The sequence below is a fragment of the Homo sapiens genome, chromosome 19 (assembly GCF_000001405.40).
Source record: "Homo sapiens chromosome 19, GRCh38.p14 Primary Assembly".
Classification (NCBI taxonomy): domain Eukaryota; kingdom Metazoa; phylum Chordata; class Mammalia; order Primates; family Hominidae; genus Homo; species Homo sapiens.
In genome coordinates, this window is record NC_000019.10 from 17,015,472 (window position 1) to 17,041,973 (window position 26,502).

General features: G+C 51.9%; 1 protein-coding gene across 14 annotated transcripts in view, besides 1 other annotated feature; it reads right to left on the reverse strand.

Moving 5' to 3' along the window:
* CPAMD8 (C3 and PZP like alpha-2-macroglobulin domain containing 8) overlaps positions 1-11,339 on the reverse strand; it is a 133,860-nt gene extending 122,521 nt beyond the window's left edge. For 10 of the 14 annotated variants that reach the window (NR_165644.1, XM_011527922.2, XM_011527921.4 and 7 more), the window contains exons 1-3: positions 11,080-11,339; positions 6,559-6,710; positions 4,860-4,882 (exon numbers count right to left, since the gene is read on the reverse strand). Coding sequence is in view for 11 of the 14 variants with exons in the window: in XM_011527922.2 (XP_011526224.1) it covers positions 4,860-4,882; positions 6,559-6,710; positions 11,080-11,312 (408 nt within the window). In the remaining 3 variants the exon portion in view is untranslated. Of the gene's footprint in view, positions 1-4,859; positions 4,883-6,558; positions 6,711-10,542; positions 10,662-10,772; positions 11,005-11,079 lie in introns of those variants that run through there. The other 4 variants (XM_011527917.2, XM_047438612.1, XM_047438613.1 and 1 more) reach the window with 3 other exon arrangements.
* Positions 11,511-12,419: an enhancer, noted in NCBI's record as "H3K27ac-H3K4me1 hESC enhancer chr19:17137792-17138700 (GRCh37/hg19 assembly coordinates)". NCBI's record gives its function as "activates a minimal SCP1, AML or CMV promoter by ChIP-STARR-seq in primed H9 embryonic stem cells {active_cell/tissue: H9 hESC(primed)}" and the evidence as "EXISTENCE:reporter gene assay evidence [ECO:0000049][PMID:30033119]".

A 26,502-nucleotide genomic window follows, 5' to 3' on the forward strand; every position in this document is an offset into this window, starting at 1 on the left:
TGAAGCCACACGGGGTCCGTCCCAGCCCTCTCTCCAGCCACCCACCTCCTGTCTGCTCTGAACAGCCTCAGAGGGACCTCTCCTACCTGCCACCCGCAGGACCAGCCTTCTGGACCTGTGAGGTCTCTTCTGACTGCAGTTTCCCCGTCAAGACCAACCAAAGCAATAAACCTCACCCACTACTCCAATCCCAAAATCCTCACCTGGCCCTGTTTCTGGAAATATCTCAACACTGGCCAGAGGCTGAAGAGGGAGGAAAGGTCCCGGCCACCCAAGAGCAGGGCAAGGATGGGCAGGAGGGAGATACCGGAGGTGCTGAGGACCGTATGCTGGAGGGACAGGGAGGCTGGCGGGCAAGAGACTATGCTGAGCACATAAAGGGGGCCGACCCCAAACGGCAGCCCCTAGAGCTTCACACCTTCCCAGGGAAGAGGATGCCTCCCACAGGGAGAGAAGGCAAGAAGGACCTCCAGCCTTCTTTCCGTGTTTAAAGACAGGCTCTTGCTCTGTTGCCCAGACTAGAGTGCTGTGGTGCGATCACGTCTCACTGCAACCTCGATCTCCTGGACTCAAGCAATCCTCCTACCTTGGCCTACTGAGTGGCTGGGACTACAGGTGCAGGCCACCATGCCCGGCTAATTTTTTATTTTCAGTTTGTAGAGACAGGGGACAGGCTCTCAACTATGTTGCCCAGGCTGGTCTCCAACTCCTGGCCTCAAGCGATCCTCCAGTTTCAGCCTCCCAAGTAGCTAGGATTACAGGCACCAGTCACTGTGCCTGGCCAAATGCTAAGGATCTTAAGCATCTTTCTTGGGAATCTCAAGTCTAGTCTTAAGAGCCCTTGGCCCCTCTCCCAGAATTATACAACCCTTTGTTAGTCTCTCTTACAAATTCCCAGCATCTGTGCTGTGAAGAGTGTCTTCTAACGTGTGGTGGCCAGGGACTGCACATCATCTTAACACCTGCTCCAGGGAAATGGCTTCCTGACTCATAAGAAAGCAGATCTAGGCTGGGTGCAGTGGCTCACACCTGTAATGCCAGCACTTTGGGAGGCTGAGGCAGGTGGATCACTTGAGGTCAGGAGTTTGAGACCACAGTAGCCAACATGGTGAAACCCCACCTCTATTGAAAATACAAAAATTAGCTGGGCATGGTGGGGGCGTCTGCAGTCCCAGCTACTCAGGAGGCTGAGGCAGGAAAATCACTTGAACCCAGGAGGCAGAGGTTGCAGTGAGCTGAGATCGTGCCACTGCACTCCACCCTGGGCGACAGAGCAAGACTCTGTCTCCAAAAAGAGAGAAAGAGAGAGAAAAATCTAATCACACAAAGGAAAGGCAGGAGAGAGAGAGAGGAAGGAAGGGAGGAGGGAGGAAAAGAAATCCAATCACAGGAAGCCAGGAAAGGGAGTTCTAGGGTCTTTTTTTTTTTTTCTTTTTTCCTTATGCTTCTGTAGGCATTGAAGCCCTAGGGCAGGGACCCTCAACCCCTGGGCCACAGACTGGTACCAGTCAATGGCCTGTTAGGAATGGGGCTACACAGCAGGAGGTGAGCAGTGGGTGAGCAAATGAACCTTCATCTGTATTTACAGCCGCTCCCCATCACTCACATTACTGCCTAAGCTCCGCCTCCCATCAGATCAGTGGTGGCATTAGATTCTCATAGGAGTGTGAACCCTATTGTGAACTGTGCATGGGAGGGGTCTAGATTGCATGCTCTTTATGACAATCTAATGCCTGATGATCTGTTACTGTCTCACATCACCCCCAGGTGGGACCATCTAGTTGAAGGAAAACAAGCTCAGGGCTTGCACTGTTTCTTCAGTTATGGTGAGTTATATCATTATTTCGTTATATATTACAGTGTAATAATAATAGAAATAAAGCACACAATAAATGGAATGCCCTTGAATCATCCTGAAACCATTTCTTCTGCTCCCTGGTCCGTGGAAAAAACTGTCTTCCATGAAACTGGTCCCTGGTGCCAAAAAGGTTGGGGACTGCTGCTCTAGGGTTTTGGTTCAGGGTTTCCTGAATGTGGACTTCTGGGGCCACATCCTTCTTTGCTGTAAGGGATCCTGCGCATTGTAAGATGTTGAGTTGCAGCTGTGGCCTCCACCCACCAGATGCCAGTAGCACCTGGCACCGCCCAGCCCCAACCCAGCTGTGACAACCAAAAATGTCTCCAAACTTTACGAAATGTGCCCTGTAGGGCAAAAGCCCCCTTGAGTGAGAACTGCTGCCTTAGAGAAAGGGTTCTATCATCAAATGTAATGGAGGGGCCAGGTGCTGTGGCTCACGCCTGTAATCCCAACACTTTGGGAGGGCTGAGGTGGGCAGATCAACTGAGGTCAGGAGTTTGAGACCAGCCTGGCCAACATGATGAAACCCCATCTCTATTAAAAATACAAAAAAATTAGCTGGGCACGGTGGTGCACACCTGTAATCCCAGCTACTGGGGAGGCTGAGGCAGGAGAATCACTTGAACCCAGGAAGCGGAGGTTGCAGTGAGCCAAGATTGCATCACTGCACTCCAGCCTGGGAGAAAAAGCAAGACTGCTTAAAAAAAAAAAAAAAAAGTAAGGCAGGAAGACCACTGTCCTGCAGCAAATAGGCACTAGTGGTATACCTCATACAAAAGGAACTATCTCAGCCTCCATTCTGATCAATGGAGATGGGCGCCTTATAATTTAAAATAATTCTCAATTTAGCCCATTCATTCGTAGACTCCTTTGAGCATGTGGTAAAAGTTAAGGAATAGCTAACCCCCCAAATGCCGCAATTCCAGGGCTTACATAATATCTGAAATCCAAGGACTCCAGTTTGAAAACCCATGTCATAAAATTATTTACATAGTTTGGTACATATAATAATTTAAAAATAACAATATTCAATGTCTGAGAGGCAGTGGAGAAATCTGATCCCTAATGTACTGCAGGTGGTTCCATGAACAGGTACTGCTGTGTATTCCAGGACACAGCAAGACCCAGTGAGAGGCTTGGGTCCTGCTGGTAATTCTTCAATTTGGCTGTTTAGCCTAAAGAAGGCATCCAGAATGCTAATATGGCTTTACATACAAACATTCTGGCGACTTAAGGATTACAGTATCAAAACACTGAAAACAGCCCAGGCAGGGTGGCTCATGCCTGTAATCTCAGCACTTTGGGAGGCCAAGGTGGGTGGATCACTTGAGGTCAGGAGTTTCAGACCAGTCTGGCCAACATGGTAAAACCCCATCTCTACTAAAAATACACACACACACACACACACACACACACACACACACACAAAATTAGCCAGTCTTGATGGTGCATGCCTGAGGTCCCAGCTACTTGGGAGGCTGGGGCACGAGAATCGCTTGAAACCAGGGTCAGAGGTTGCAGTGAGCTGAGATTGTACCATTGCACTCCAGCCTGGGAGACAGAGTGAGACTTCATCTCAAAAAAAAAAAAGAAAAAAAAAACCACTGAAACAATCTAGAAAAAATCTAGCTGGGGGCTTAGCAAACTGATATTTAAGAGGGGTGCAATAGGATGCTGCTTACAATGAAATGGAAATTCCAATTACAGAGACTTGGAAACATGGAAGTTGTTTACAACAGTGTGATAAGAGGGACTAGGAAACACCACGGTGTTTTGTTTTCTTTTGTTATGTTTTGTTTTGTTTTGTTTTTTGAGACGGAGTTTCACTCTGTTGCCCAGGCTGGAGTGAAGTGGTGAGATCTTGGCTCACTGCAACCTCCGTCCCATGGGTTGAGGCAATTCTCCTGCCTCAGCCCCCGAGTAGCTGGGATTACAGGTGTGCGCCACCATGCCCAGTTAACTTTTGTATTTTTAGTAGAGATGGGGTTTTGCCATGTTGACCAGGCTGGTCTCAAATTCCTGACCTCAGGTGATCCACCCTCCTCGGCCTCCCAGAGTGCTAGGATTACAGGCATGAGCCACTGCGCCCGGCCAGTGGTGTGTGTCCTTTAACTGAAACTATGAAAAGAAAATGTATGTGCATGAACAAGAATGTGTGGAAAACATGAAAAAGTGAAAAGTATGAAAACTGGATTATCGGTGGATTTCTCCTTTTCTAAATTTCATTATTCTCTCATTTTTTTTTAAATAGGGCCTCACTCTGTTGCCCAGGCTGGAGTGCAGTGGTGCGATCATAGTTCACTGCAGCCTCAACCTCCCAGTCTCAAGCGATCCTCCTACCTCAGCCTCCCAAGTGGTTGTGAGAACAGGCGTGAACCACCATGCCTAGCTAATGGATAATTTTTGTATTTTTTTTTTTTGTAGAGACAGGATTTTACCATGTTTTCCAGGCTGGCCTTGAATTCCTGGGCTCCAGAGATCAACCCACCTCAGCCTCGCAAAGTGCTGGGATTACAGATGTGAGCATGGCACCCAGCCTCATTATTCATTTTTTACATCTCTTTTTTAAAAATGATTTTTCTCACAACACATGCAATTTCTCTTATTCCATCCCAATTCAATTCTTTTTTTTTTTTCTTTTCTTTTTTTTTTTTTTTTTGGTGAGACGGAGATTTACTCTTGTTGCCCAGGCTGGAGTGCAATGGTGCAATCTCGGCTCACAGCATCCTCCGCCTCCCAGGTTCAAGCGATTCTCCTGCCTCAGCCTCCCGAGTAGCTGGGATTACAGGCATGTGCCACCACGCCTGGCTAATTTTGTATTTTTAGTAGAGATGCGGTTTCACCATGTTGCCCAGGCTGATCTCGAACTCCTGACCTCAGGTGATCCACCCACCTCGGCCTTCCAAAGTGCTGGGATTACATGTGTGAGCCACCACGCCTGGCCCAATTCAATTCTTTATTTCCAAGGTCAGGTTTATGATTTTAAAAATCAACGGCTTACCTTGAGTTTGATTGTCCCTTTATCTAAAAATGAAAATAAAATGAAAAAAGTTAAATCAAGAGCTGTGTTGCCCTGCCTCCCTGAGCTGCAGCCTCACAAACCACAAACTTTCTTAACCCAAAGGGGTTTCATGTGGACAAACACACCCTGGGTCATGCTGGCCTGGACTGGGCCAGGCTAGGACTGGCAGAAGCCAGAGGTTTCCTCCAAGCTGGCACAAGCTGAAGGCCAGAGGGAATGGACAAAGCTGAGCTATTCAGGGCAAAGCTGGCCTGCCTAAGTACTTGATTTACTTCACCCCTGGCTCCTGTCCAAACTAAGCTGTGAGGGGAGTAATGGGAAAACACCAGGGGAGAGGAACAAGGAGAAGGGTGGAGAGAAAGAAGAGGGGACTGAGGTCCCCAGTGGACCTGACTGTTCTCCCATCACCTCTCTCTGCTACCCACACTAAATCATTTGTGCTACTGTACTAGGTTTCTGGCCTCCAGGACTCAATTAGGTATCTATTATTTTTGCCTCCCAGCAACCATTATCCCATTTCCTGCTAACAGATCCTCAATTTCCTTGGACAAGCTATCTGCCCAGCACACAACGCACGTGGCTCCCAAGCTCTCCATCCACCTTCCTGGGACTCTGAGCCAATCTGCATAGGCCTTCCCCCTGGTCACAGTGATTGGTTCAGGGCTGAGCACATGACCCAAAATGAACCAATCAGCATAGGCCTTCCCCTCTGGTCATAGTGATTGGCTCAGGGTTGAGCACATGAACCAAGATAGGCCAATCAGAGGGAATCCTGGGACTTTATCCAGCCATCTTGGGAGACTGGTGCTTCCCCTGATCTTAAGGAGAGACCTGGTTGCATCAAGAGGTAGGGGGAGAAGCTGGCCAGCAATACCAGTGGACTTTCTTTCTAGGTATGAGAGACCACAAACTGTTGCAGAAGCCAACTGGGTTGGGTTTCAGTTGGCTAGCCACCCAAGTCAGGAGTGCCTGGTTCTTCTAGGACTAGAAGGGCTTCTAGAAGGTTCTAGAAGCTTCCACATTTCCACCTTCTCTGGCCACACCTCCCTAAGAGACAAGTGCTGCTTCACTGGCCTTGGAGCCCCTGGCCTTCTCTGTGTCTCCTGTGGCTACATCATTCTCGGCATGAGGAATGAGTCTACCTCCCCTGGGAGATTACAGCTTTCTGAGCCAGGGATCTGCATTCACTATCTTGACCAGGAGGCTGAGGCTGTTGCTGTCTGCATTTGACCAAGGAGTGAAGGGGAGAGACTGGCTGAGGGCCTGAGCTGCACTTAGTAACAGGCCTGTGAGCCCAGGTCTGAGTCTAATGGTTCAGGTGTGCTGGAAACCCAACAAAAGGTCAGAGGGGGGTCATGTGATCTCCTTCAGGTCCCCTGTCCCACCTCTGGTCAAAGCTGACACAGGTGGGTGCCCGTGCTCTGCCCAGATCTGCACCCACAGAACCAGGGCTGCTGAGGACCCATGAGCTGAGCTGCCCATCCTGGGCTTTACTCTCTCTCCATCTGTAGAATGAGGAGAATGCAACCTGTCTTCCCTCCCTCCCTCCCATGCCCCTGGGGATTTAGGGCAGAAGGGAAGCAAAGCAACACCCACACTGCCCCAGCCCTGAAGGCCAGCAAGTGGCTCCACTTTGCAAAAGAAGGGGAAGTCCTGGTCTGGCACCCAAGGGACCTACCCAGGATGGCTCCCTGGCTCTGCACCACCGGCTCACCCTGGGCCACCAGCTGAGCCTGGACCGTGACTTCCCTTGGAGAGTTAAAGATGGTCACGCTGATGACTTCCTCCACGCCCGCGCGAAAAACAGAGGGAGCTGCAATCAAGTAACCCCTGCAGGAAAGGAGATCCGAGGTGAAGTTCTCACCCCAGACCCCTGGTCTCGCTGCCACCACAGCTAGGTCAGGGCTCTCCTCGCAGCAGACTCCTGCCTTTTGCTGACCACACCTGGCTGGCATTGATGCTCTAGGAGTCTGTGCCCCCCCATCAGTTCTTGAGTCCATGGATTGGCTCTTTCACCTGTGAAGTCCCCATGCTGGGTAAGAATCTGGCCTCACTGGATTTTTCAGCATTGCACAACCCCTCTTACTCTCTCTATTCCGGCCTCCAGCCTGTTGACTCAGCTACTTCCTTCTGCCCCAGGACCTTTTTTTTTTTTTCTTTTCCTGGAGACAGAGTGTTGCTCTGTCCCCCAGGCTGGAGTGCAGTGGCATGATCTCGGCTCACTACAACCTCCACCTCCCGGGTTCAAGGGATTCTCGTGCCTTAGCCTCCCAAGTAGCTGGGATTATAGGTGCCTGCCACCACGGCCGGCTAATTTTTGTCTTTTTAGTAGAGGCAGGGTTTTGCCATGTTGGCCAGGATGATCTCAAACTCCTGACCTCAAATGATCCACCCTCCTCAGCCTCCCAAAGTTCTGGGATTAGAGGTGTGATCCACCACGCCTGGCCCTTCTGGCCCAGGACCTTTGCACATGTCATGCCCACTGTCTGAAATACTCTCCTCCACAAGCCAGGTAACCGGCAGGATCCCACTTCATCCTCACGGTGCACCCCGTCCCCCACCACCGTGAGAAGTGCTGACATCAGCCCCATTTAGAAAGTCAGAAAGGAAACCCCAGAGAAGTCAAGTCACCAGCCGCAACAGTGACAGACCAGGATTCTAACTCAGGCGGTCAGACTCCAAAACCTGATAAAAAGAAGCAAAGGGCTTCTTTGCAACATTCATTTTAAGAACAAACCCTGAAAACAAACCATAGGGCCTCAAACAAAAAGAGCTCTGAAAACAATGGAATCAAAGCAGGCCTCTCTTTCCTAAAATCTTCTGATTGACTATGAAGTCACCTCTGGAAGGGAGGCATTACCCCCAGTTTCCCCATGGGAAGTTGATGCTTCAGAAGAATAGGAACATGCACCAGATCACACAGCCAGGCAGAAGAGGGCACTGAGGTGCCCTTAGGGGACCTGACCTGAGGGCCCAGGTCCTCCCCACCTGAGCTCCTGTCTCCCAGTATCTGCAGCCTTCCATGGAAAATTACAAAGGCCCTGTAACCTCATGAAATGCTTACAGTGTCCCCACAATCACCAAGAGCATTATAGCAAAGGCACCACAATTGCAACCATGTAGAATGATGGAAATCAGAAGAAAAGAGGGTAAAGGGGGAAACTGGACCATGCAATGAGATTAGGAGACATTTTCATTTCAATATTTTCTTTTTTTATTTTTATTTATTTATTTATTTATTTTTAATTGAGACTGAGTCTTGCTCTGTTGCCCAGGCTGGAGTGCAGTGGTGTGATCTCAGCTCACTGTACCCTCCACCTCCCAGGTTCAAGGGATTCTTCTGCCTCAGCCTCCAGAGTAGCTGGGACTACAGGCGTGCACCACCACACCCAGCTAATTTTTGTATTTTTGGTAGAGACTGGGTTCCACCATGTTGGCCAGGCTGGTCTTGACCTCCTGACCTCAAGTGATCTGCGCACCTTGGCCTCCCAAAGTGCTGGGATTACAGGCCCACTGCACCTGGCCTCAATAGTGTCTCTAGAACAACCCAACATCCACATGCAAAAAGATGAATTGAGAACATTACCTCACACCATGCAATTAGATTAACTCAAAGTTAATCTTAGTAACAGATCTAAATTGAAGAAGTAAAACTTGTAGAAACACTAGAAGAAAACAAAGGAGAAAGTCATTGCATGCTTAGATTAGGCAAAGATTTCTTGAGTAAGATACCAAAAATAAGATCCATAAAATAACTCACTGATAAACCAAACTTCATGAAAACATCATTACCAATTTTGCATCTCAAAAGACGCAGTGGGTTTGTGTTGTTTCATGCACACGAACAATGGGTTTGGGTTGTTTACTGCAGCCCTGGCCACAGTGTGCACTGACCCTGTGATCATAGTGTGCTACATCTGCCTTGAATAATTACCAGAGTTCAGTCCCCTGGGATCACACATGTGCTGTCCAACTCTAGGACCAACTGGAGTTTGCAAGACCCTGGGTATGTGCTGTGTATTACATAACTCCAGCACTGACCAGGACATGCAATTACCCTGTCCAGGTGTCCTGTCCAGCTCCAGCACTGGAATGTGGCATCCTTTAAAAGGGGAATACTCTTTCTGTCTGGCTCCCAGCTGATCCCTAGAGTTTAGACGGGCCTCACATATAGTACATGGTGAGTGTAGAAGAGAGAGTAAGGAATACGTGTTCATTTTGCTTGGTCACCTTTGAAACTCCTGACAATACGGGTTCAAGTCTTCATCCAACTGCCCAGAGAAACTGACATCACCAAATTAAGTTTCCCTGCCATTCAGAAGTTGCAGCTGTTTCCAGCTGTTGGGATGCTTGCCAGCCATTCACTGTCACACCTGACCCACCCCTAGCATCTGGGCCAACACTGCTTCTCATCCTGCTGGTCTCAGAAGGTCCCAGATTGGGGAAAGGGATGTCTGGGTCAGTGTAGACAGAATTGCTCTTACAACTGCAAACTGTGCTGCTTTCTGGGATCAGAGATTCCTCACACAAAAATCTCTCAGGTGACAGAAGTGGGCATCCAGAGCTATTCCTAAGACGAGATCCTTTGGGCTGGGTGAACCATGCCCCTGGCTTAGAGGCCAGCTAATCTGGAATCCCAGGTCGGTCATTTGGGGACATCTCTTCCCCAGTGTGTCTCTCAGCACAGGGATTCCATGTCACTTAACAGATGGTAAGATCACAGGGTGACTTTAGTCAGAGGAAAACGCCCTGGAGAACTGTTTAAAACTCTCTAACGGGCCAGGCACGGTGACTCACGCCTCTAATCCCAGCACTTTGGGAGGCGGAGGTGGGTGGATCACCTGAGGTCAGGAGTTCCAGAACAGCCTGGCTAACATGGAGAAACCCCATCTCTATTAAAAATACAAAAAATTAGCCGGGTGTGGTGGCACACGCCTGTAATCCCAGCTACTCAGGAGGCTGAGGCAGGAGAGTCATTTGAACCTGGGAGGCGGAGGTTGCAGTAAGCCAAGATCGTGCCATTGCACTCCAGCCTGGGCAACAAGAGTAAAACTCCATCTCAAAACAAAAACAAAAACAAACCCCAAAAACAACAAACAACAAACAAAAACCTCTGTATAAGGCAGGGTCTCTCATTGGAGCCAAGGTCTGTCATGTGGGGCCGCGTCATTCCTTGCAGTGGAAGCTGACCTGCACATCGAAAGCTGTTTACCAGCATTCCTGGCCTGCACCCACTTAATGCCAACACCAAATGCCTCTCCCTATTTGTGACAACCAAAAATACCTCCAGACATTTCCCAGCGGCCTCAGGGAGACAAAAATCCCCCCCAGGGCTGAGAACCACTATTCTAAGGGATGCCAGCTTTGAAAGAAGCATTAGGATGAAAATTTGTAGGGTTCCGATTTCACGAAGCCTAGGAGAGGGAAGTCTGGATGCTCAGAGCGCAGTAGACTGTCTTGCTTTTAAAACTGTGACCAGCAAGGACCAACTACTCACTGCAAATAACGACACCCACCTAGTCTCACTGCTTACCAGTTTTCTGGAAACTCCTAAACAAGGGCTGCTTGAACAAGCCGCCTTCTAAACGCCCAGCTGGACTAAAAGGCTGGTCTTGTGCAGACCAGGGCAGCCCCCCTGAACCCGCAGCCCTGCAGAGCTCACCCGAACTTGCCAGGTTTAGAAATATTCTCTGTGAAGCCAACTTAGCAGTACTCCCCAGCAGTTAGTTAATTCACCTTCTCCCCGCTGTCAACCCACCAGAAGCCTGCAAGCAAACCTCTAGAAAAATGTAGAAGCAAAACAAACACTTCCTCCTCCCTCACCACGCCCACCCACGGGAAAGTGCCCCTTCGCACTCTCCTCCCACTTCTCAGCCAAGACGCTCCTCTTACCTTCATACCTTGGACAACTGGAAATCGCCACCCATGATGACAGCCCGGGTCACACGAAGGGGGCGAGGTGGGGCGGGGGGAGCTGACCTCAGCACCTTTAGCTTTTGGGAGTCCCTGTACCTCCACAGAGCCACTTCGGAAACTTTAGGGCGCCCCCTCCTCAAGACGATTCGGGAACAAGAGGCCAGGTCCAGCCCAGCGCGGAGGCTGTGTGGCCTTGGGCAGGTCGCTGCAACACTCTGAGCCAGTACCCGCGACCCCCACCCCAGAAGGCGACCGACCTCCTCTGTCGCCGGAGGATACTCACGGGGCCTGAGGCTGCGCGGCGCGCACGCCGTCCCGCGCCGACAGCAGCAGGAGCAGGAGCGGGAGCAACGGCCAGAGCAGGGCGCCGCTCATTTTTCGGCTCCTGGGGGGCGCCGCGCCTGGGGAGGGGGCCGGGCCAGGGCTGGGCCAGGGCCAGGGTCCGAGCGCGGCCGTCCTCGCGCCGCCGCCGGGGGCCCTTTGTTCGCAGCCCCCGCGCAGTGCGCCCGGCGCCATGCGCCCCGCTCCGCGCCCGGCCAAGCTGGGGCAGCCCCGGGCCAGCCCCCTCCCCGGACCCGCCTCGTCTCCGGGACCGCCCCGCTCGCCCCGCTCGCCCCGCTCCTGGGCGCACCCTCCCGGGACGCCTGCTCCGCCCATCTCCGGACCCCGACCCGCCCCGATCCCTTCCGGGGATCGTCCCCTCACTTACTCACCGGACCCACCCGGGCCCTGCCCGATTCCTTCCGAACCCGCCTCCTCACCCCCTACCCGGATTCGCCCCCGGATGCCCCCCTCCCCACCAGCCCCGCCTCGGACCCGACCCCCCACCGCCCCCACTCTCCCTCTCCTCTCCACCCAGCGTCCACTCGGAACCTGTCCCTTCCCTGGCCTCTCCCTCCCTCCCTCCCCAGCCAGCCCCTTATGGCCCCCTCCCCGGGCCCGCCCCTCACCAGGGGCCCCTGGGTCTGGACGCCGCCTGCAACCCCGATCCCACAGGCGCCGCCGTGCCCTAAGCCCTGGCCTGTATCTAGTGCCCAGTGCAGTGCGTACAGCCCAAGGAGCAGAGGACCCTTTGGGGAAACAGTCTAGCCAGGGGTCGAACCTCCCAGACTCACATCTGCCCCAGGTCCCTATCTGTGCTCTCTGCTCCCCTCTCCCCCACCCCCACTGTCCACAAATCCCTTGGGCCCGTCCCCTCTCTCGCTGGGCCTCAGAGTCCCCCTTTCCCCTTCATACAGCAGGGGTGGATGGGCACCCCCTTTCTCTCCAAGAGCAGGGTGTCCCCTCCTGCCCCTCCCCGTGTGGCCACCTCAGTGATGGTCCTGCTGTCCTAGGTCCCACTGGCAGGCGGCACATCCTATACCATGTCCAAGTCCTGGACCCCCTCCTTCCAGTGTGGAACCCCCTTCCCCCAGCTACCAACTGCCCTTCTTCTAAAATTCCAGTGCTGACCACACCCCCTCCTGCCCGGAATCCTCGGGGCTCCCTGTTTATTTTACATTTTATTTTTATGTTTTGAGACCAGAGTTTTGCTCTGTTGCCCAGGCAGGAATTTAGTGGTGCAGTCACAGCTCACTGCAGCTTCAGACTCCTGGAGAGTAGCTGGGACTACAGGTGCAAGCCCGCACCCAGCTAATTTTTATATATTTTTTTTTAGAAACGGAGTCGCACTGTGTTGCCCAGGCTGGTCTTGAGCACTGGGCTCAAATGATCCTCCCTCCTCAGCCTCCCAAAGTGCTGGGATTACAGGTGTGAGCCACCACATCCAGCCAGGGCTTCCCGTTTATTGAGACCAAATCTAAACTCTGGCTTTGATGGCAGAGACCTCAGCCTAGTTCCTCCAACACCCTGTTCTTACTCCACTGCCTGCTTCTGCCTAATCTCTGTCTTCCTCTACCTGCCTCCTTTGCCAGTCCAACTCCTGATCCTTCCAGGAAACTCAAGGGAAGCTTCTCTTGCCCCCTCCCTGCCCCTAGGGATGTGGGTCCTCTGGGGGCTTCTCAGCCCTGTCAACAGCCTTTGGACCCAACACTGATCACCCAGGCAGCACCAAGCCCTGGGCTGGGCAATGAGGACCCTGGGACATACAGGACCTGCTGCCACTGAGCACACAACCCAGAGGGGACGTAACTGATGATGGTGTGTTGGTGTGTGTGTGTGCGTGCACGCGCGCAGGGGCCGGAGTAGATTGAGTAGCCGTCTCTCCTGCCTGGAGAAGAGGAGGAGCTGCCTGCCTCCAAGCTCAGACCAGGCCAACCCCAAACAGGCTGCTAAACTCACATGGAGGTGCAAAAATCTAGCACCAAGAAGCAGCATCTGATCTCACCCTCATCATCGAAGTTTGCCCCATGCCACCCCTCCGGGCCCCTCCAGGCCAACTCTGACTCCTACCTAAGCCAACCTCCACTCCTCAGCCTCCAGGCCAGCCTTTGAGCCCTCCGCCTCCCCCTTGACCATTGGGCTCTGGCCACATTTGCTCCTGAGATACATCAGACCCCCACCCACCACCACCATCTTGGGCCAAGGTGCCAGCTGTCCCCTCTGCCTGGGATGCACTTCCCCGTGGCATCACAAGACCGGCTGCTCTCCTCCACCTTCAGGGTTAGCCCGGAGGTGCCTTCCCTGCCTGCCTGGTTTGTAAGGTCTAAAATGTCAGTGCTGCCTTGGCATGGTTGAGCCACACAGGACCACGATGTCCTGACCGACCGTTCAGCTACTCTTGCCAAATATGCCCCCTGCCTGGCAAGAGAAGCTGCTCTCCACCTGGCTGTCTCACCAAGCAACCAGACCAGCTGCACCCCACCCATCAGCCACAGACTTCACTTCCCTAGCTGCTGAGAAGTTATTGAAACAAGCCATGCCCAGTCGTGGTGGCTCATGCCTGTAATCCCAGTACTTTGGGAGGCCGAGGCAGGTGGATCACCTGAGGCCAGGAGTTCAAGACCAGCCTGGCCAACATGGTGAAACCTCATCTCTACTAAAAATACAAAAATTAGCCAGGTGTGGTGGTGCACACCTGTAATCCCAGCTACTCGGGAGGCTGAGGCAGGTGAATCACTTGAACCCAGGAGGTGGAGTTTGCAGTGAGCCGAGATTGCGCCACTGCACTCCAGCCTGGGTGACAGAGTGAGACTCCGTCTCAAAAAAAAAAAAAAAAAAAAAGAAAGAAAGAAACCAATCACATCCTCCCAGGAGAACCAGGGGCTGCCTCACCCTCTTATTACTACAAAGCCTGCTTCCCACAGCCCCTGCTTGTTCATTGTGCTCCCGAGTGCAACCCCTGTGTGGCCTCACACAGTGTACAGGGTCCTCCTCCCGTCATTGTGTGAGAATAGGTGAGCACTAAACTGTAGATCTCACCCACCCAATGTCACATGTTGTATGTTTGGCCATCTCATACTCTTTTTTTTTTTTTTTTGAGACGGAGTCTTGCTCTGTCGCCCAGGCTGGAGTGCAGTGGTGCGATCTTGGCTCGCTGCAAGCTCCGCATCCCGAGTTAACACTTTTCTCCTGCCTCAGCCTCCCAAGTAGCTGGGACTACAGGCACCCGCCACCACGCCCGGATAATTTTTTGTATTTTTAGTAGAGACGGGGCTTCACCATGTTAGCCAGGATAGTCTTGATCTCCTGACCTCGTGATCCGCCCTCCTGGGCCTCCCAAAGTGCTGGGATTACAGGAGTGAGCCACCGCGCCCGGCCTATTTTTTTTTTTTTTAACGGAGTCTCACTCTGTCACACAGGCTGGAGTGCAATGGCGTGATCTCAGCTCACTGCAACCTATGCCTCCCGGGTTCAAGCGATTCTCCTGCCTCAGCCTCCCAAGTAGCTGGGACTATAGGCGCCTGCCACCATGCCTGGCTAATTTTTGTATTTTTAGTAGAGACAGGGTTTCACCATGTTGCCCAGGCTGTTCTCGAACTCCTGACCTCATGTGATCCACCTGCCTTAGCCTCCCAAAGTCCTGGGATTACAGGCATGAGCCACTGTGCCGGGCCCATCTCATACTATTTAGAGCAGCAGTCCCCAACCTTTTTGGCACAAGGGACAGGTTTCATGGAAGACATTTTTTCCATGGACAAGGGGCAAGGTGATGGGAGGGACAGTGATGGTTTTGGGATGATCAAGTGCGTGACATTTATTGTGCACTTTATTTCTATTATTGTTACATTGTAATATAATGAAATAATGATACAACTCACCATCGCGTAGAATCAGTGGAAGCCCTGAGCTGTTGTTTTCCTGCAGCCAGAGATCCTACCTGGGGGTGATGGGAGACAGTGGCAGATTATCAGGCATTAGATTCTCATAAGGAGCATGCAACATAGATCCCTCGCATGCACAGTTTGTAATAGGGTTTGGGCTTCTCTGAGAATCTAATGCTGCCGCTGATCTGACAGGAGGTGGAGCTCGGGCGATAATGTGAGCGATGGGGAGAGGCTGTAAATACAGATGAAGCTTTGCTTACTCATCCAATATCAGACCAGTGTCAGTCTGTGGCCCAGGGGTTGGGGACCCTTGATTTAGATCATGGGTGAATAGGAGCCAATGAGGACACTAGCATGGCCCGGTCATCCAGTTTGACTGCATGGTACACAAAACACAGAGCATGGTCTTATTATTCCATACACATCTGCTTCCTGTCTGTCTTCTTTGGGATGTGAGCCCCCCGTTTGCTGCTGGCCGCAGCCCCTGGCTCAAAGTGGGCACACCTCACACAGATTACTGCCTCATCAGCACACGGGAGAAGGCTCGCTGCTTAGAAGAGTCAGTTGATACTATTCCATGAATTATACAAGCCTGAGTTAACAAAGCCATGACTAAAAACTAAATTATACCGATTTGCAATGAAACACATTATACAGGTTGAGTAGCCAAAATGCATTATCGGCCGGGTGCAGTGGCTCACGCCTGTAATCCCAGCACTTTGGAAGGCCAAGGTGGGTGAATCACTTGAGGTCAGGAGTTCAAGACCAGCCTGACTAACATGGTGAAACCCCATCTCTACAAAATACAAAAATTAGCTGGGTGTCATGGCAGGCACCTGTAATCCCAGCTGCTTGGGAGGCTGAGGCATGAGAATCACTTGAACCCGGAAGGTGAAGGTTGCAGTGAGCCAAGAATGGGCCACTGCACTCCAGCTTGGGCAACAGAGCCAGACCCTGTCTCAAAAAGAAAAAAATGCCTAATCTAAAATGCACTTTCCAAAACGGTCAGTGCAAGAAATGTTCCAGATTTTTAATTTTTCAGATTTGGGGATATTTGCATTATACTTACTGGTAGAGTATCGTGTGTGTGTGTGTGTGTGTGTGTGTGTGTGTGTGTGTGTGTGTGTGTGTAGTCTGGCTCTGTTGCCTGGGCTGGAGTGCAATGGTGCGATCTTGACTCACTGCAACCTTCACCTCCTGGGTTCAAGCAATCCTCCCACCTCAGCCTCCCAAGTAGCTGGGACTACAGGCACATGCCACCACATCAAGCTAATTTTTGTATTTTTATAGAGACAGGGTTTCACCGTGTTGCCCAGCTGGTGTCAAACTTCTGAGCTGAAGTGATCCACCTGCCTCAGCCTCTCAAAGTGCTGGGATTACAGGCATGAGCCATCATGCCCAGAGTATCTTTAATCTGAAAATCTGAAATCTGAAATGTTTTGGTGAGTGTTTCCTTTGAGCGTCATGTTGGCGCTGAAAATTTTTAAATTTTGGAGCATTTGTGGAATTTGGATTTTCAGATTAGAGATGCTCAACGTGTATTAAAAATATGGCTGGGCGAGGTGGCTCAAGCCTGTAATCCCAGCACTTGGGGAGGCCAAAGAGGGCAGATCACTTGAGACCAGGAGTTCGAGACCAGTCTGACCAAGATAGTGAAACCCCATCTCTCCTAAAAATACAAGAAATTAGCCAGGGGTGGTGGTGCATGCCTGTAATCTCAACTACTTGGGAAGTTGAGGCAAGGGAATCACTTGAACCCAGGAGGCAGAAGTTGCAGTGAACTGAGATCATGCCACTGCACTCCAGTCCGAACGACAGAGTGAGACTGTCTCAAATAAAATAAATAAATAAATAAATAGCAAAGGCGCTGAAAGTACTCAAAACTCATCACTTCGTCTTCATTTTACTACATTTTACAATTCTCTGTACTCTTGAGGTTATGCATGGTGAAAATACTCCATAATAACACAGATCTCTTCCTAACTCTATGTTTAGTCACTTCACGCCAGTAGGTTGAAATTACCCATGGGCGGAGTACAGTCACTTCCACTTTATCACTTGTTTTGAAAGCACAAATGTGTTCCGACATGATGGATGCATTAGGAATGATTTGAGCATAAAATCAAATATTGTGTTCACTTATGTAAGATTTTTGTCTGCAAGAAACATTGGGTATGAATGCAGAAAACTGCACCTGGCTGACCCCAGCCACGTAGGAATACACAAAAACCACACCTGCACCCTCTCCAGCATCTCTGTGCTCCCTCAGTGCCTTGCTGTGTGCCAGGAGCCACATCTGTCCCTGTCTGAGGTTACAATATCCCGCCTGATTTCAGATGATCTCCTCCCAGACCTTCACAGTAACTCACAGGCTGCCACCTCCCCATGCCCAGGTCCACAAATGAGCCTTCAGTCTTTCCAAGGCTGATACTGTATTTGTGTATTTTTTTTCTTTTCTTTTCTTTTCTTTTTTTTTTTTTTTTTTGAGATGGGTTCTCACTCTCTTGTCCAAGCTGGAGTGTAACGGCACAATCAGGGCTCACTGCTGCTTCAACCTCCTGGGCTCAAGTGATCCTCCCGCCTCAGCCTCCCGAGTAGCTGAGACCACAGGCATGTACCACCATGCCTGGCTAATTTTTTTGTATTTTTAGTAGAGACAGGGTTTTGCCATCTCACTCAGGCTAGTCTCCAACTTCTGGACTCAAGCGACCCACCCGCCTTGGCCTCCCAAAGTGCTGGGATTATACAGGCGTGAGGCATCGCGCCCGGCCATATTCTTGAAATTCTTAACCATTTGACATTTGTACAATGTCACTACCATTTTTAGTAGGTGCCTATTTTTTTTTTAGGTGTCATTGGTGACATTTGGATGGTTGTGCCCTGACCCGTTTTCCCATGAGCCCTGTGGTTTGATTGTGTGAATTTGCAGCGTGAGGTCATTTTTAGGAATGGCCCTGTTGTGTGAGGGCGGAACTGGCTGCATTAGCCCCATGGTAAGTGGTTGTCAAACATCTCCAAACATGCCTAGGATGAGCAGCTTTGCAGTTTGGATGGGGGACGAGGAAGACCGCAAAGACTGTCCTGTTGTCAATGGGCGTTTTTCTTTTTTTTTCTTTTCTTTTTTTTTTTTTTTTTGAGATGGAGTCTCACCCTGTTGCCCAAGCTGGAGTGCAGTGGCGCGATCTCGGCTCACTGCCAACCTCTGCCACCCGGGTTCAAGTGATTCTCGTGCCTCAGCCTCCCGAGTAGCTGGGATTACAGGCACATGCCACCACGCCCAGCTAATCCAGCTAATTTTTTTGTTTTTTTTTAGTAGAGATGGGGTTCCACCATGTTGGCCAGGCTGTTCTTGAACTCCTGACCTCGAGTGATCTGCCCATCTCGGCCTCCCAAAGTGCTGGGATTACAGGCATGAGCCACTGCGCCTGGCCCAATGGGCGTTTTTCTCCCACTTAGCCAGCATGTGCCTGTGCCTGCCAGGTGCCCAGGAGATTGGATGTCAGGACTGAAGACAGACAGACAGCCTGATGGCCTGCAGTGATCTGGGTCTTCTAGCACAGTGCCCCTGACAGGGTTCCTAGGGCCAGAGGGAGATCAGGCCATGCCTGTCCAGGACATTTCGTATAAATGGAATCATACACTATGTGTGCTTTTGTGTCTGCCTTCTCTCACCCAGCATCATTTTTTGTTTGTTTGTTTTTTTAAGATGGAGTCTTGCTCCATTGCCCAGGTTGGAGTGCAGTGGCGCAATCTCGGCTCACTGCAACCTCCGTCTCCCAGGTTCAAGCGATTCTTCTGCCTCAGCCTCCCAAGTAGCTGGGACTACAGGCATACACCGCCATGTCCAGCTAATTTTTTGTATTTTTAGTAGAGAGAGGGTTTCACTGTGTTGCCCAGGCTGGTCTTGAACTCCTGATCTCAGGTGATCCACTCACCTCAGCCTCCCAAAGTGCTGGGATTACACGCATGAGCCTCTGCGCCCAGCCAAAATATGCAATGACACCTACCAGGAGTGAGGCAGGAATGATTTTCTTAATAACATGTTTATTATTCTTTTCTCCCCCTTGCTTTATTGTCAGAATACGATATATAATACATAGAACATACAAAATATGCGTTAATTGATCGTTTATGTTATCTGTTGACTTCTGGTCAACAGTAGGCTATTAATAGTTAAGTTTTGGGGGAGTCAAAAGTTATGCACAGATTTTCAACTGCCAGGAGGCTCAGCACCCCAACCCCATTGTTCTTCAGGGCCAACTATACATCTGTTTAGAAAAACAAAAATGTACACTGAAGCACAAAAATTGGGCCAGGCACAGTGGCTCACACCTATAATCTCAGCACCTTGGGAGGTCGAAGTGGGAGGATCACTTGAGGTCAGGAGTTCAAGACCAGCCTGGGTATTATAGTGAGACTTCATCTCTACAAAAAATTAAAAAATTTGGCCAGATGCGGTGGCTCACCCTTGCAATCCTAGCACTTTGGGAGGCCAAGACAGGCAGATCACTTGAGGTCAGGAGTTCGAGATCAGCCTGGCCAACTTGGCGAAATCCCGTCTCTACCAAAAATACAAAAATTACCCGGGTTGGTGGCAGGAGCCTGTAATCCCAGCTACTTGGGAGGCTGAGGCAGGAGAATCTCTTGAACCTAGGAGGCGGGGTTGCAGTGAGTCAAGATCGCGCCACTGCACTCCAGCCTGGGTGAGAGACTCCATCTCGAAAAAAAAGAAAAAGAAAAGAAAAATTAGCTGTGTGTGGTGGCTGAGTGGCCTCCAAAGGTGGCTTTTAGGGGGACATCTGGGATCTGCCCCAGCAAGTCCCAGCTATTCAAGAGGCTGAGGCAGGAGGATTGCTTGAGCCTAGGATTTGAAGCTGCAGTGAGCTATGATTGCACCACTACACTCCAGCCTGGATGACAGAGCAAGACTCTGTCTTAAAAAAAAAAAAAAAAAAAAAGCCGGCGCCGTGGCTCACACCTGTAATCCCAGCACTTTGGGAGGCCGAGGCGGGTGGATCTTCTGAGGTCGGGAGTTCGAGACCAGCCTGACCAACATGGAGAAACCCCGTCTCTACTGAAAATACAAAATTAGCCGGGCATGGTGGCGGCGCATACCTATAATCCCAGCTACTCAGGAAGGCTGAGGCAGGAGAATCGCTTGGACCTGGGAGGCAGAGGTTGCGATGAGCCGAGATCGCGCCACTGCACTCCAGCCTGGGCAACAAGAGCAAAACTCGGTCTCAGAAAAAGAAAAAAAAAGGATGGGGCAGGATAACAGGATGCAGGCCTGGGACTTTCCATGGAGGAAGAGGCCTCAGAAAGGTCTATGTCTGGGACAAGGCGACCTGAAGTGCCCTTGGGCTTAACCTCTTGGACTCAGCCCTCTCTGGGGTTTGGAGATGCCAGCTGCCCCAAAAACCGCTCCGAGCACAAGCAATGTGCCACACAGCCCTGTGGCAGGAAGGAGCTCGTGCCCGCTCCAAGTAGCACCAAGCGTGGAGGAAGGCAAAGGAGACTCGGGCTGCCACAGGCCCTCTCTGGGTGTGGGGACCAGAGATCAAGCCAGGTTCCCATTCTTGCCCTGTGAATCCTGCACTGTGTCCTCAGGGCGGGGAGTGTACGCAGGCCATCGGGGGACAGCACAGGGCAGTTGGTCCCCAGCCGGTGGGGACCAGTGTGTAGGCTCTAGGGTCAGCCTCAGGGTGGCCTTGGGGATGTGCAGCTCCTTGGAGAAGATGAACTCACAGCTGGTCCAAGCTCTGACGTCACTTCCGGGAGGAAGCTTCAGCCTCATAACTCCAGAACCACTTCCCTAAAATCCGAGTTTGCCGAGTTTTTGCTTCAACCATCTTGAGTAGCTTTGTCCTGCCTGGACCCTGAGTCTGAGCAAAGATAATGCCCTGTGATCATCCAGCCCCAGACAGCCTTGAGGCACCACCGCAGCCCCACTGTTCCTGGGGCATGCCCTAGATGTCCCCTGAAGGCTGCCCTCGGAGGTCAGTCAGTGATCCGCCCTCTGCACCAAGAGGGCTTCTTCCCATCTTTCTGGCTCCTTCTGGCAGCTTCACCATGGTGAAGCCCCTTCTGGGGTGCTCCTTCAGCTGGGTGACTGTGCCTCCAAATGCATGCTTGTGAAGTCTGCACCTGCCCAGCTCACCTGGGGTCTGTCTGCACCTGCCCAGATCACCTGGGGAGCCATGTCTCTGTCCACCTTACCTGGAGGCTGTCTCTACCTGAGCTCCTCATCTGGGGGCTGTCCACAACTGCCCACCTCACGCGGGAGCTGTTCACACCTGCCCACCTCACCTGGGGTCTGTCCATACTTGTCCATCTCACCTGGGGGCTGTCCATACCTGCCCACCTCACCTGGTAGCTGTGTCCATACCTGCCCACCTCACCTGGGGGCTGTTCATACCTGCCCATCTCACCTGGCGGCTGTCCACACTTACCCATCTCACCTGGGGACTGGGTCCCTACCTGCCCATCTTACCTGGGGGCTGGCCACACCCGCCCACCTCACCTAGGGTCCATGTACCCACCCACCTCACCTAGGGACTGTCTACACCCGCCCACCTCACCTAGGGACGGTCTACACCCACCCACCTCACCTAGGGACTACACCCACCCACCTCACCTAGGTCCATGCACCCACCCACCTCACCTGGAGGGCCATGTCTCTACCCACCTCATTTGGAGGCTGTCTACACCAGTCCCTGTTGCCTGGGGGCTATGTACACCTCCCCATCCCACCTGAGGACTATGCACCCATCCACCTCACCTAGGATTTACCCACACCCACCTGGGGGCCATGTCCCCACCCACCTCACCTGGGAGCTAACTACACTCGCTCACCTCACTGTGTCCCTACAGGGTGAGCACAGGCGGAGGGCAGGGAGTGGGGCAGGAGTGTCAGGGAGCAGGGCAGGGGTGTGTGCGTCTGTCCGGGAAGAAGGGTGGAGATGCTGCCTGCAGCCCTTTTTACCTGCACCTGAGCCCTCAGTGCAGCTCTGCATCAGACACTCCCAGGGCCCGGGGTCTGGTGACCGGCACCATCTCCTGTCTCTTAGGTGGCATCTCTGCCCAACCATTCCTTCTTAGAGGCTCCTGTGACATGAGAGCAGGAATGGGGCCTGGGACAGCACTGGAATAAGAAAACCGAGGCCCTGGCCAGGTGCGGTGGCTCACACCTGTAATCCCAGCACTTTGAGAGGCCGAGGAGGGAGGATCACTTGAGGTCGGGAATTCAAGACCAGCCTGGCCAACATGGTGAAACCCTGTCTCTACTAAAAATACAAACATTAGCTGGGCGTGATTGTGGGTGCCTGTAATCCCAGCTGCTCAGGAGGCTGAGGCATGAGAATCACTTGAACCCAAGAGGTGGAGGTTGCAGTGAGCCGAGACTGTGCCACTGCACTCCAGCCTGGGCGACAGAGCGAGACTCGGTCAAAAAAAAAAAAAAAAGAAAAAGAAAAAGAAAGAAAGAAAGAAAGAATGGAGGGGCAGGGTGGGAGAGAGAGAGAAAGGAAAAGAAACGAAAAGAATAAGAAAAGAAAAGAAAAGAAAAGAAAAGAAAAGAAAACAAAACTGAGGCCCAGACACGATTCAGCCCCAGTAGGCACCCTGGCAAGCTCTGCCTTCTGGGCAAGCAGGCTGGAAATAAAAGCACCACAGTGAACACCCTGGCCCGCCTCGGCTCCGCCAGCAGCATCTGTCCTGGAGAAGACGCCAGCTCAGTACCAGAAATGTTCCGGACACAACCTGGACCGGGCAGAAGCTGAGGAGCCACCAGGCTGCCAGCAGTTCCAAGCACATGCTAGGGGCTGCGGAGGGGGCTCGCCACCCTCTAACTCCCTGGGGGTGGCCTCGTCCAGCCCCGCAGGAGGCCTCTGTCTATTGGAGCTAAGCCTGGAGACGGCCACTCCGGCCAATGGCCTGTCCAACCCAGGTGTAGACAGCCCCTGAGTGAGGCAAGCAGGCACATGGCCCCCCAGGTGAGCTGAGTGGGTACATGGCCTGCCGAGGTGAGGTAGGCAGGTATAGGTAACCCCCAAATGAAGTAGACAACCCCCAAGATGAAGTGAACAGGTGTAGACAGCCCCTGGTAGACAGGGGCATGGTCCTCCAGATAAGACGGGTAGGTGCATGGCCTCCTAGACGACATAGGTGGTAGACAGCCCCCAGGTGAGGGGGACAGGCATAAATAGCCCCCAAGTGAAGTGGACAGGCATAGAAAACCCCCAGGTGAGGTGGACATGTGTAGAAATCCCCCAGGTGAGGCGGACAGGCGTAGAAATCCCCCAGGTGAGTTGGACAGGCGTGGAAATCTCCCAGGTGAGGTGGACAGGTGTAGAAAGCCCACAGGTGAGGTGGACAGACGTAGAAAGCCCACAGGTGAGGTGGGCAGGCCTAGAAAGCCCCCAGGTGAGGCAGACAGGTGTAGAAATCCCCCAGGTGAGATGGACAGATGTAGAAATCCCCCAGGTGAGATGGACAGATGTAGAAATCCCCCAGGTGAGATGGACAGATGTAGAAATCCCCCAGGTAAGATGGACAGACGTAGAAAGCCCAAAGCTGAGGTGGACAGGTGTAGAAATCCCCCAGCTGAGGCTGACAGGTGTAGAAATCCTACAGGTGAGGCAGACATGTGTAGAAATCCCCCAGGTGAGGAGGACAGTTGTAGAAATCCCCCAAGTGAGGTGGACAGGCATAGAAATCCCCCAGGTGAGGTAGACAGGGACATAGCCCCCAGGTGAGGTGACCACTTCCTTCCCTTCCTTCCTCCCATCACCAAATGTCCACAGACACCGCCCCCACCCAGGCCAGCATACCAGGTGCTGGAGACTGGCCCAGCTCTCAGTGGCTCCCAATATTTTGGCAGATCAGTTCCAAACAGGTGCATTCTAGAAACTCTGACAGCAGGGCTCACCCCACAGGGCACCGGTGAGGATGGGAACCCAGGAATGTAAGGCCAGCCCTGAGCCTGGACCTAGTCAATGTTCCATAAACGGCAGCCTAGGGACACTGGGACCAGGCAGCCCAGGAGTGGGAGGGAGGAGTTGGCTCCTGCTGGATCATGGTGGTGGGGCAGGGTGGGGGTCGGGGGGATGTTGCAGGAGGAGACGTTTGTTTCATCACTTGTTCATGCAAACCTTCTGAGGCACCCTCGCCATTCAGCTCCCCAGGCCCCCATCCAGCCCACAGCCTCTGCCATCCCTGCCCTACCCTGGGACTTGGACTCTCATTGCCCTGTGAGCCCGGCTGGCTCATTCCCGCTTCCCAGCCAGCAGCCCCTCACCTGCCAGGGCTCCAATAAGCTTTGGCTCTGGAGGGCACCCACACTGCCCCTCCTCCAGCCATCTTTTTTTGGGAGTATAATTGGGGTATAATTTACATACCACAAAGTTGACCCAGTGAAAGTGTCTGGTTCAATAGATTTACTATTGATTAAGATCTATTTAATCAATAGATTTTAGTATACTTACAGTTGTGCAACTGTCATCACTTCTATTTCATTCTAGAACATTTCATCCCCCAAAAGGAGACCCCGTCCCCATTAGCAGTCACTCCCCATTCCCTCTCCCAAAGCCCCTGGCAGCCACTCATTGCTTCCTGTCTCTATGGATTTGCCTGTTGTGGGCATTTCATATCAATGGAATCTCACACTATGTGGTGTTTCGTGACTAGCTTCTTTCACTCAGCATTGTGATTTTGGGGGTTTTGTTTTGTTTTGTTTTTCAGACAGGATCTCACTGTCGCCCAGGCTGGAGTGCAGTGGAATGATCATAGCTCACTGCAGGCTTCATCTCCTGGGCTCAAGCGATCCTCCTGCCTCAGCCTCCCAAGTAGCTGGGACTACATACAGGTGAGCACCACCACACTCAGCTTTTTTTTTTTTTTTTTTTTTTTTTTTGAGACGGAGTCTTGCTCTGTCGCCCAGGCTGGAGTGCAGTGGCACAATCTTAGCTCACTGCAAGCTCCGCCTCCCAAGTTCACACCATTCTCCTGCCTCTGCCTCCCAAGTAGCTGGGACTACAGGTGCCCACCACCACGCCTGGCTAATTTTGTTTTTGTATTTTTAGTAGAGACTGGGTTTCACCGTGTTAGCCAGGATGGTCTTGATCTCCTGCCCTTGTGATCTGCACATCTCGGCCTCCCAAAGTGCTGGGATTACAGGCGTGAGCCACCGCACCTGGCCCACCCAGCTAATTTTTATATTTTTTGTAAAGCAGGGTCTAGCTATGTTGCCCAGGCTGGCCTCAAACTCCAGGGCTCAAGCGATCCTCCCTCCTGAGCCTCCCCAAGTACCAGGATTACAGGCATGAGCCACTGCACCCAGCCTTATTTGGTTTTTGTATGGGTCTGCTTTATTTTTCTGGTATTGGTCTTAAGTTCTCCAATTTATCTCCTCCCGTTCCCCCTTCATTTCTTTCCAATCAAGCTGTTTCTCTCCCTCCCCATCACTCCCCTGAAACTGATTTCATCAATGTTACCAATGATAGACAATTTCCTTAATTGAATGTTCTATTTGTGTGCTTGTTTTATTTGATTTACAAGAAGCATTGGACACAGCTCTCTTTTTCTTTCTTTTCTTTTCTTTTCTTTCTTTGAGACGGAATCTCCCTCTCTTTCCCAGGCTGAAGTGCAGTGGTGCAATCTTGACTCACTACAACCTCTGCCTCCCAGGTCCAAGCGATTCTCATGCCTCAGCCTCCTGAGTAGATGGGATCACAGGCATGCACCACCACACCGGTTAATTTTTGTATTTTACTGGAGACAGAGTTTCACCATGTTGGCCAGGCTGGTCTTGAACTCCTGGCCTCAAGTGATCCACCTGCCTCGGCCTCCCAAAGTGCTGGGATTACAGGTGTGAGCCACCATGCCCAGCCTCTTTTTTTTTTTTTTTTTTGAGGCAGAGTCAGTGGCGCAATCTCGGCTCACTGCAAGCTCCGCCTCCCGGGTTCACGCCATTCTCCTGCCTCACCCTCCTGAGTAGCTGGGACTACAGCCGCCCGCCACCACACCCGGCTAATTTTTGTTGTATTTTTTAAGTAGAGATGGGGTTTCACCGTGTTAGCCAGGATGGTCTCCATCTCCTGACCTCGTGATCCACCCACCTCGGCCTCCTAAAGTGCTGGGATTATAGGCGTGAACCACCGTGCCCGGCCCCATGCCCAGCCTCTTTAACAAACATCTTAATTGGCTTTATGATTGCAGGTGTACTTTGGTTCAGCAACTCCAAGGGCCCACATAACCTGCCTCAGAACTCCGCATATCTGCCTTCTTCCATCCTGTGGTCCCTCACACCAGATGTGGTGGGTGGCAGTCCTAACAGCCTCCTGTCCCTGAAACCTGCCGGTACCTCTCACTGCAACTCCGGGAGGCTGGTACAAATGCTCCTATCCCAGGTCAGCCCTGGACCCGGAGGCCAGAGACAAAAAGACCCCAGCTGGGCTTCCAGCTCCCCAGGGGAAAGTTTGGTGCCGAAAGGAAAATATTTACGT